An 11,995-nucleotide genomic window follows, 5' to 3' on the forward strand; every position below is an offset into this window, starting at 1 on the left:
TTAGTGGTTTCCTAGGGATGGGATGTGGGCAAAGAGAGACAAAGGAAGGAGGGATTACCAAGGAGCACAGGGAAACTTCGGGATGAGGGATATGCTCATTATCTTGACTGGTGATGGTTTTGCAGGTGGGCCAAAACTAATCAAACTTTACACTTCATCTATATGACCAGCTATCATATGTCAATTATCCCTCAATAAAGCTGTTTTAAAAACATTTAGGGTATATCTACTGGAAAGTAAAACTGCTTTTAATTACAGACTATATCATCATGTACATAGAAAAATCCAAAGGATTCTGCAAAAAAGCTACTAGAACCACTGACTTCATCAAGATGCAGGTACAAAGTTAATATTCAAAATCAACTATATTTCTATACGAGAGCAACAAAAAATGGAAAAATGAAAAATTTTTAAATAATACCATTTATAATAGACTACTGGGGCAGACTGTACATTAAAAAAATACAAAACATTGCTGAGACTAATTAAAAATAATCAACAAAATGGAGATCTATACCATGATCGTGGATTAGAAAATTCAATATTATTAAGATGTCAATTCTTCCCAAATACATGTACAAATCCAACATAATCCCAACCAAAATCCCAGGATTTTTTTGAGAAATTAATAAGCTGACCCTAACATTTAGATAGAAATGCAATTTTAAAAAGGAAAAACAAAGTTGGAGAACTACCTACTTTCAAGATTTATTGTAAAGTTACAGTAATCAAGACAGTGTGGTATTGACATAATTATAGATCAAGAGAATAATAGAGTCCAGAAACAGATTCATATTTAATGTGATCAATCAATTTTCAGTGAATGTACGGAGACAATTAATTCAATGGGGGAAAAGACAGTTACCACAATGGAGCATTTCTGAAAATGTTTTGTAACTCAATTGTGGTGATGGATATATAGCTTCATATATTTGTCAAAACTCAGAGAATGGTACACTCAAAATTGGCACATTTTATTACATGTAAGTCATACCTCAAAAAAGCTGATTTGGTGACAAAGATTTATATATGTTGTTGATAGAAGAAAAAATCCAAATACTTATTAAACGTGGAAATATATTTATCCCCATAAATAATAAGGGAAGTACAAATTAAAACAAAAAAGCATATCACAGCCATCATAAGAGTAAAAATCACAGGGTCTGACAATTCAAAATCTAATAAGGATATGAGAAAATTCTAGACAGCAGTGTGAACTGCCACATTTGCTTCAGACAGCAATTTAGCAGTATCTGGTAAAGCTGAAAAATCACACACTCTATAACAGCAATTCCACTTCTAGGTATATATCCTAGACAAAATATTGCACATACACAGAAGAAAACCATACAAAAGTGTACATTTTAGATTACATTGCTTGTAATCAAAAAATTGGAAATAATATATTAAGATGGGGAAATACATAAACTTTAGAATTCATAAAATGGTTAAAATTAAAGAAATATATATATACAGAAAGTTCAAAAATACAATTTTGAAGAAAAAATCCTACAGTGACACATTCAGTATGAGATCATTTATGTGGACTTAAAGCACATAATAAAACAATCTCTAAAAACAGAGATTGGATGGATACACACACCAAATTTTAATAAAGGTATAAGTTGGACTAGAAGCAGAACAAAGGTGATTTTAACTGTATTTATAATATTTTAATTATTTTAAAATAGCTGATGCAAAAATGACAAAGATTAGCGTTTATTTTAGATGGTTGATCACACATATTTGAATATTATTTTCTAAGTCTCTGTAGTTTTAAGCATTTCAAAATCTAAAGAATAATAATTTTTAAAAGCTATAAAAATATGAATAAAGGACTAGAAAGCAGTAACTTTTCATTAATATGCTGGATTCTGAGACAACTTTAAACTCAACAGTAGTATTTACCATGGTGTCAAATTTAGCATTTATCTTGAGTTCACAAACTGAGTTCACTAATTTTGTCTCCGTTTTTCAAATTTCTAGCATTTATAGACTACTATAACAACCATACTCTCCCTCTCCCCTCTCCCCTCTCCACGGTCTCCCTCTCCCTCTCTCTCTCCACAGTCTCCCTCTGATGCCGAGCGGAGGCTGGACTGTACAGCCACCATCTCGGCTCACTGCAACATCCCTGCCTGATTCTCCTGCCTCAGCCTGCCGAGTGCCTGGGATTGCAGGCTCGCGCCGCCACGCCTGACTGGTTTTTGTATTTTTTGGTGGAGAAGGGGTTTCGCCATGTTGGCTGGGCTGGTCTCCAGCTCCTGACCGCAAGTGATCTGCCCGCCTCGGCCTCCCGAGGTGCCAGGATTGCAGACGGAGTCTCGCTCACTCAGTGCTCAATGTTGCCCAGGCTGGAGTGCAGTGGCGTGATCTCAGCTCGCTACAACCTCCACCTCCCAGCCGCCTGCCTTGGCCTCCCAAAGTGCTGAGATTGCAGCCTCTGCCCGGCCGCCACCCCGTCTGGGAAGTGAGGAGCGTCTCTGCCTGGCCGCCCATCGTCTGGGATGTGAGGAGCCCCTCTGCCCGGCCGCCCAGTCTGAGATGTGAAGAGCGCCTCTGCCCGGCCGCGACCCCGTCTGGGAACTGAGGAGTGTCTCTGCCTGGCCACCCATCGTCTGGGATGTGAGGAGCCCCTCTGCCCGGCCGCCCAGTCTGGGAAATGAGGAGCGCCTCTTCCTGGCCACCATCCCGTCTGGGAAGTGAGGAGCGTCTCTGCCCGGCCGCCCATCGTCTGAGATGTGGGGAGCGCCTCTGCCCGGCCGCAACCCCGTCTGGGAACTGAGGAGTGTCTCTGCCCGACCGCCACCCCGTCTGGGAGGTGAGGAACGTTTCTGCCCAGCCGCCCGTCTGAGAAGTGAGGAGCCCCTCCGCCTGGCAGCCGCCCCATCTGGGAAGTGAGGAGCCCCTCCGCCCGGCAGCCGCCCCGTCCGGGAGGTGGGGGGCAGCCCCCACCCGGCCAGCCACCCCGCACGGGAGGGAGGTGGGGCCAGCCCCTGCCTGGCCAGCCGCCCCATTCGGGAGGTGGGGGGCAGCCCCTGCCCGGCAGCCATCCCGTCCGGGAGGTGGGGGGCGCCTCTGCCCGGCTGCCCCATCTGGGAAGTGAGGAGCCCCTCTGCCCGGCAGCCACCCCGTCTGGGAGGTGTGCCCAACAGCTCATTGAGAACGGGCCATGATGACGATGGCGGTTTTGTCGAATAGAAAGGGGGGAAATGTGGGGAAAAGAAAGAGAAATCAGATTGTTGCGGCGTCTGTGTAGAAAGAAGTAGATATAGGAGACTCCATTTTGTTCTGTACTAAGAAAAATTCTTCTGCCTTGGGATGCTGTTAATCTATAACCTTACCCCCAACCCCGTGCTCTCTGAAACATGTGCTGTGTCCACTCAGGGTTAAATGGATTAAGGGCGGTGCAAGATGTGCTTTGTTAAACAGATGCTTGAAGGCAGCATGCTCGTTAAGAGTCATCACCACTCCCTAATCTCAAGTACCCAGGGACACAAACACTGCGGAAGGCTGCAGGGTCCTCTGCCTAGGAAAACCAGAGACCCTTGTTCACATGTTTATCTGCTGACCTTCCCTCCACTATTGTCCTATGACCCTGCCAAATCCCCCTCTCCAAAAAACACCCAAGAATGATCAATAAATACTAAAAAAAAAAAAAAAAAAAAACAACCATAGTCTTTTAGGCTAAGTGTTGGAAGATAGTAATAGATTTCCGGCTGTGTGACTAAATAAATCTTACTTTACTAACGTAAGTCCAAGATAACTATTCAAGCTCATCACTCTCACTGTCCCTTCACGTGGTCATCGTGCCCACCTACGAGGTATCCAAAGCCAAAAGCCCATCCCCATTTAGAACCTTTTTGGCTCCCATGACTCTCTTTTCCATTTGGCTTGTCTATTACCCTGGCTATTATTTACACACTAAAGTTCATTCTTTGAGTTCATGAGAGAACAGTTTCTGGGGTCTTTAAATTTTAAGAGAGGAACTTATGATATTCTGCTCAACTATAAGGATACACACAACTAATAAACGTGAAAGGTCCCCTCCCTTTCTTAAAAAGATTGTGCTTACTATTTTTATCTGATAAAGAGGATCACTCTATAAATATATTATTTGTCTCAAATTATGACTCACCTCTGGATAAAGATGGAAGCATTTTACTGCATTAATTCCAAGAGGATTTCAGTAAGCCTGTCATTCATTATCGTCCCCAGTCCTTCCAAAAATGAAGGTGCTTCAATATTGGTCTCGAAGTAGGAATAAAAGTCCCTTTAAAAAAAAAAAAAAAAAAAGAAGGCACATGTTGTCAATGTAATTAAAACTTTAAAATATTTATTTTTATCACTTCTTTAGAACATTTTTTTCTGAAAAAAAAGGTCAATAATAAGACTTCCTAATTACGCCTCGCTATTTTGCATTCTTGGACTTTAAAAAGCACGTATTTTCAGGTGATCACTGTACTATTCTTTCAAGTTTTCTATAGGCTTTCAAACTAAAGAGTTGGAGGGATGGTCGAATGATTTAAAGAGTTTCTCTAATAATGTCTTAAAATGTGTAGACAGTATATGTTCAATTTTCCCAAATCTGGTTTTATCCCCCACATTTGAGATGCTTGAAGGTTGACATCTGATTAATTCTGTCATAAACAGGGATGCCTTCATGCCTCTGTACAACTTTGCATATAGAAAATTACTTCTTTTTTTCCCATGCTCTTAGGAAATAAAATATAATGACCATAAGCATCATGAGCAAGGAATCCAGTGCTTCTAGCTTAATTCATAGCTCCATCTAATCCTCTGTGCTAAGTGAAAGCTCAATGTTGATTGACTATTGTTGCTCACAAATACTATGTACTAAAAAGCAGATTATTTTAGTGTCTTACACTTCAGCATATAAAATAAAGGCTTCATTAGGATAGTAAAAGTGCTGTTGAGTTAAAATTCATGGATTAACAATAGCATGTTATGTCTTATTTCCCCATCAATTTCTTGCTTTCGCTCCTAAAATCTAAAAGCAAAAAAGGGCCACATTGTTTAAAATGCATTCTCCCTAAAAAATGCTATATGCTATAATCATATCTGCCTCATCCAACACGAGTAACTACTAAATTAAACGTCTGTTTTAGCTGATGTCTGAAAGGCCATTACCTCATAGTTGATTGGCAAAATATGAGTTCATAAAGAATTTTCCTTTCTGCTTAGGAGGATAAAGCAATACAATAATTAAAGGATATCTAATATGCAAAAGTCTATATTTAGGGAAATATTAAATATTCTCTTTAAAATGTTCAAATGTCATACATATGTTAATGTATCCAATGCTTTGAAACTTTATAGGGGCAATATAGGGATGAAAATTAAAAAGCAGTGACGGAGGGGCCTGGCATAGGCAAAATCATAGAGATAGAAAATAGAGCTGAGTGTGATTAGTGTTTAGTGGGTGGAGTTTCTGTTTGGGATAGCAAAAAGTTCTGGATGTGGACAGTGGTAATAGTTGCAAGACAACACGAATGTACTTAATGTCACTGAATTGTACGCTTAAATGATAACCATTGACATTTTTCTATTACAAACTTAAATCTAAATTTCACCATAATTTAAACAAAAAGCAATGGCTAGAGTGAGGAGAGTCAGCTTCAATGCTTCAGTAGGCCCCCGACCAGCTGGGAGCAGATCTGGAAGATGGACGGTTGTGGTGTCTTCTAAATGTAAAATTGCACAATTTTGGTATTCGCTATCCCATTTACTCCTCACAATAATTATGTGAGATGTGTATGGCAGAAAACTCCATTTTAAAGATTAAGTATCGAAAAACAGAAAAATATTTAAAAATTATATCAAAAGTCATCTCTTAAAAGAGATTATCTTGAAATCAAAAGAGAACCAAATAATAATCATCATCAGTAAAAGACCCAGTAAAACATGGGACCTCCCAACTGTAGCCAAAGAAAAAGCAATTTCTGATAACATCTCATTTCATTCCCCTTTATCACTTCTTCAGTGCTTTCTTTGTCCTCCTTCCTCAGCTACTATAATTCATCTTCATTATCTTAAAAAGAAGTCTGCATTAGGAAAGGGTGAGAGATAATGAAGTAACAGAAAAATAATCTCAAACACTTTACTATTTAAATAATAAACCTGGGTTATAGCTTATGAAACAGTGCAATGAAGTATCATATTACAATAAGAACAAGTTTCAAAACCAACATTAAAATAAGCGATAAGTAAGAAAGCCATAAAAAAGGAAACAATAAATTGTTATAATATTGTTTTTATAATTTGCTTACTAACTCGTATGTTTTTAGGCATTTATAATGCAGTATGGCACACACCTGAAATTCCTTAACTCAGTGGTTTTTAAACTTAATTGTTGCCGGGTGCGTTGGCTCATGCCTGTAATCCCAGCACTTTGGGAGCCCGAGGCGGGCAGATCACTTGAGGTCAGGAGTTTGAGACCAGCCTGGCCAACATGGTGAAACCCTGTCTCTACTAAAAATACAAAAATTAGCCAGCCATGGTAGTGCATGTCTGTAATCCTGGCTGCTAGGGAGGCTGAGGCAGAAGAATTGCTTGAACCCAGCAGGCGGAGGTTGCAGTGAGCAGAGATCATGCCACTGCACTCCAGCCTGGGCGACAGAGTAAGACTCTGTCTCAAAAAAAAAAAACCAACTTAATTGTATATCTAAAATTCTTGTGGCTTGTTTCACCCTTCCTTCCATCCCAGGCCTCTAAATCAGAACAGAGGCAGGTTAGTGTTTGTTTTTTAAGTTTCAAGTGATTCTAATGTACCAGCCTTGGGAAATACCTCCGTAACTGTTGAAAAGGGTTCAGAATATAATTTTAAATAAAATTACTTTAGATCAAAACAGACTTACAATAAGTATAATATCACATAAAGGATCAACTTTCAAGCGCCAAAGAATACAGGTGTGTACTTGAAGACCTTTTAGTAGTGAAACTCAGCAGCTGTAGGCAGTGAAGAAAGGAGCATATGTGATAAACAAAATTAGCTGTGGTCAACAATTATGCTATAGCTAACTTATGTAGTCAGTACTTTCCAGTGAAGTTGAAAATAAAGCAAAGTTCCATGTATTAACCCTGTTTTCCACTAACCCTTCTTTACATGTAGGACATATGCCAGGGTACCAAAAACTGCAGGAATATTCCCTAGCATTGCAGCCTCAGTTCTAATACCAAAATCTCCCTGCAGACTAAATGTCTAGAGCAGCACTGTATCAATAGAACATAGGGGCAGATCTCATACCTTCCAAGGGTAGAAATCGCTGAGCACAGGTAAAAATAAAATATTCCAGAGGGAAATATTATTTTACAAATTTTTATAAACACTTTTGTAAAATAATGTACACAGCCTTGCACACTGAAAGAGTCAAAGCCATTTAACTCTGTATAACCACTGCAGAATCTTTATCTTCTTTTTTACCTGACTTCCAATTGGCGGGTGTTACTAAAACTTTATCACCAAAGTTATTTCACTAGCTGAGCGTGGTGGCTCATGCCTGTAATCCCAACACTTTGGGAGGCCAAGGCAGGTGGATCATTTGAGGCCAGGAGTTTGACACCAACCTGGCCAACACGGTGAAACCTCATCTCCACTAAAAATACAACAAATTGGCTGGGTGTGGTGGCGCATACCTGTAATCCCAGCTACTCAGAAGGCTGAGGCACGAGAATCACTTGAGCCTGGGAGGCATAGGTTGCAATGAGTCAAGATCGCGCCACTGCACTCCAGCCTGGGAGACAGAGCAAGACTGTCTCAAAAAAAAAAAAAAAAGTTATTTCACTAGCAACATATAATTACCATAAAACAAAGGAGGGTTTTAAATGAACTACACATGCAAAATACACTAGAAAAGCTAGATATTTTTAAAAACGTGGTGAATTATTTGGTAAAGCCAAAATATTTTAATTCATAAGTTACTATTCCCCCAATGCATCTATTTTGTAAATGCTGTTTCACATATGAGGTTTGTAAAAAAGCAAAATATATGTATAAAATGGCGTACATAAAGATGTTCTACAAATATAGCCAGAAGTTATTGTTTTACTGTATGCAAAGAGTGATGGCAATTTTTAATTCAAATGTTTTTAAATATTTCGAACTGAAACTAAATCTTACCAATGTAAAATTGCCACAAAGACGGCTGGAAAAGAGAAAAGTTATTAAAAGCTGCTTTATTATAAAATACCATTAAAACAAGTATTTCAAATGTATTATTTTACATGTCTAGAAAAGATAGCACAGAAAGCAAGATGGCCAGCTAATCCTGTCTCTATGAGCATAGGAAAAAATCCAGGACACAAAGTAAATTCTGAACAGAGCTTACCTCTCTGCAGCAGGGCTTGACAAGCAAAGGGAGAGACTTGAGAGGGTTTTTTTACTTCAGTTAATTGGTAGGAGTGATGGAATTATGGAATATTGTGACCTTTTTTGTTTTTTTTTCTTTTTAGTATTCTATTCCTTTATATGAAATTTTTTAAAGAAGTAAATATATACAGTATGCTTCAGCTCGTTCTAACCAAGAGGTGCCACTCTAGATCAGTTTCTCTAGCATTCATCAGAAGACGATTAAATGCAGGCAATCACTTCCTCAGCAGCACATCTAAAAGCCCCATTGTGCAACTCAACCCTTGATGAATTGCAAGCTCTTTGCAAGCGCCCAGACTTAGGAACTACTAGATGGCCTAGGAGACTTATCTGGAGGCACCTGTGCCAGCACCCCATGTATACGTAAGACTTCACCAGGGAGCTGGGAGACACTGCTCTGGGTATGGAGCTTTTACCAGAGCTGCAAACGCAGCCTGTGCCCCTGTTTCGTTGGGGAATTGCTTGTTTTCAAGGGTACCATGGAGCTGGAGAGAGAAAAGTGGGGAATAGAACAAGTTAAAACACCACAGACTTTGCTGTTCTTATAGAGGTTCAGCAGCTTTTCTTGAATTAATGCCCTTTAGATTGTTGTAAACCTTTGGTTAACTTCCAAAGTTTTGAAGAAAATGATTTTGATAATTTTCCAAGTATTTTCATTGTCATCATGGAGGAGTGCATTTCCTTGGCTATTCCAGAAGTCCTACCTCCCTTCTGAGATTTTATAATGGTATTTCTTATGGTTATCCCAAATATACTTGGCAAGTCGTCTTATAAACCACCAATAATAGCCTCTTAAAAATTCAAAAATTACTCCTCTTGGCTAACAAAATAAATGCAAATTAATTTAATAATTGTTGAAGAAATTAAATTTTTTAAAATTAAAAAATTGCAATGTTGAAATTCTCAACCATGCTTATCCAGACCTTTTCCTATACTACTAACTGCCCTGGGCTTATCTTAAATACTTCTCAGAAGATTTACTTGTTTTACACCAGGATAGGCAAAGTATGGCCCACAGTGTATTTTTGGACTGTCTGCAAGCACAGTTGCTATAATTTTTAAAAGGCTGAAAACTTTAAATTTTTGTAAATATGCTCATTAACTGTTTATTAGGCTTCATTAATTTTAAAATATACAGAGACTATCCTATTCAACTATATTTGTATCCTATTTCTAATTCTCCTAACAATTATATACACTGGCAAAAACTCTTCAGATGATATATAAGGAAAAGGTCAAATATACTACCGAATTCATCCAGCTTTCCAAAGATGCTCAAAATCTTTCTGTGTCTCTCACTCCCTCCCTTAACCCACATACCACATCTGAAAAAAAATGATATGGTGTAACGATGCCAGTATTCTAAATGCTTGAAGGGCTTATCACATGCCCTTTCCAAGCTGTGACAGAAGCATGTCCCTTGGACCCCGGCATCCTGTCAATCTCACCTCTGAAGGTGACCCAGTCTCATACTTCACTGAAACAAAGACCATTAGACGCCAGCACTCCCGACTTCTTTTATCTCCACTTTAACATTTCTCCATATAGTAATCCTCACTTTTCTACTCCCTGTCATCTCAGAAAAGGAATTCTCTCTCCTCTTTTCCACAGTTAGCTTCTCAAATTTGTGCCTTTAATTCTACCCCTCCCAAATATTCCAAGACTTGCTCCACTAATTATTTCCTCTCTTGGAATCTTAATCTCATCCTCTTCCCTTGATCCCTCCCCTCAGCCTTTAAAACTCCTAGACCTTAAAACACTCTCTGTGATCTGACAGCCCTTCAAACCAATATACTCCCCATCTCTCTCCCCTGGTTCAATGGCAAGATCTTTGGCCAACTGCTTTCTACTCGGACCTTGCTATTATTTGCTACTAGGCACCCACAAACCGTTGCTTGTTAAACTGATCTCCTTCAAGACTTAAGAAAAGCGCCATGCGGCTCCCTCCCAGGGCTCTCCTGCCCTCTCCTCACCGATGCCAAGAGTGGTCCTGCTGGAGAACTGCCGCGCCTGCAGTTCGTGCACCTTTTCCCGAAGCTGCGCCAGGAAATTATGGACGAACTGGAAGGGGCCGAGAAGAAGGGTCTTGGCCCCCAACTGTAGCTCCAAGCCTTTTTGTGCTTTCAGATTTCGGATCCTCCGCGTGGAGCACCTTGGGGCGCCCCTTGGCAGGTTCCCGCCGCATAGGGCCGACTTTTCCACCTCTGGCTCCAGGGCGGGAAGATTGTAGCGGCTTTGAGCTTACTACTTGTTTTCTTATAATCCCTGGCGGAGCTGGGTCAATTTCAGGCACAGCCCAGCTCAGTCAGGCGAGGTCCAGAAAGGCCTGACTTGCCTGGCAGCCTCAACGGACTTGTCCCCGCAGCCCTTGCGGACCTCCTGGTCGTCATGGCGACTGTGAAATGTGGGGTGGGGAGCATGCGTTCGAAGCCATTTGCGCGGGCAGTCCCTGCGTGTCCCCCCACGTGCTCCCCAGCACTCGCAGGACCCCCGCCTCCGAGCTTCCCTGAGCGTGCAGCTTCCAGTGAGGGCAGCCCCACGCACAGCCCCCCACACCCTCCCCAACGCCTTCAGCCCCCGGTGCGCGTAGTCCCCAAGCCCACACGTGCACTCTCCACCTTGCGGCAGCTGCACGTACAGCCCCCCACACGCTCCCAGCCCCACTGGCGCAGAACCCATCACCGCTCGCCCTTCACGCGCTTCACTGGGAGTGCAGCCCCCACCCCGAGCGCGCAGCTCCACGCAGCCTCTCCACACTCTCCCCAGCGCCTGCAGCACCCCCAGTGCGCACAGCTCTGCCAGTCGCTTCCCCGCGTGCCGCCCCTGCACCACTTCGGGCCATAACCTTGCTGGCGACTAAGTCTGAAGAACTTCCCGTGATTTAATTCTTTTCTTCGAGTTTAGTCTTAGCTTTGACATTTTAACCAAAAGGTTACACGTTAATTTATGGTATGAGGTCACCACTTCTCCTATTGTCCTTCTCAGTTTCTCCCCAACCTCTCCTATTCCCTATTTTATAAGACAGGAGAAAAGGGAGAAAGCAAAAAGTTAGAAAGAAACAGAAGTAAGATAAATAGCTGGAGGACCTTGGCACCACCACCTGGCCCTGGTGGCTAAAATAATAATAATATTATTAACCCCTGACCAAAACTATTGGTGTTATGTGTAAATTCCAGACACTGTATGAGAAAGTACTGTAAAACTTTTTGTTCTGTTAGCTGATGTATGTAGCCCCCAGTCACGTTTTTCACGCTTACTTGATCTATTATGACTTTTTCACGTAGACCCCTTAGAGTTGTAAGCCCTTAAAAGGCCTAGGAATTTCTTTTTCGGGGAGCTCCGCTCTTAAGACACGAGTCTGCCGACGCTCCCGGCCGAATAAAAAACCTCTTCCTTCTTTAATCTGGTGTCTGAGGAGTTTTGTCTGCGACTCGTCCTGCCACAAATTAACGAAGTATTAAAGGGGAAGATCTCAGCTGAAAGAAATGACTGTAGGAAGTGTGTCAGGAAAGCCAACGGACCCGCAGGCCCGCCCGTGGTGCCCGCGGCATTAGGAACGTCTCTGCTCTCCTACGATCGCTGGGGTATCGGACAGTCAGTGCCCGC

At 41.4% G+C, this 11,995-nt stretch overlaps 1 long non-coding RNA gene across 1 annotated transcript; it reads left to right on the plus strand.

The window, feature by feature from the left end:
• Positions 1–7,150: 7,150 nt before the first annotated feature.
• On the plus strand, positions 7,151–11,789 carry LINC00997 (long intergenic non-protein coding RNA 997). The gene has a single exon (NR_036501.1). It is a non-coding gene; the product is annotated as a long intergenic non-protein coding RNA 997 (long non-coding RNA).
• The last annotated feature ends 206 nt before the right edge of the window (positions 11,790–11,995 follow it).

Source organism: Homo sapiens, chromosome 7, assembly GCF_000001405.40.
Source record: "Homo sapiens chromosome 7, GRCh38.p14 Primary Assembly".
NCBI lineage: Eukaryota > Metazoa > Chordata > Mammalia > Primates > Hominidae > Homo > Homo sapiens.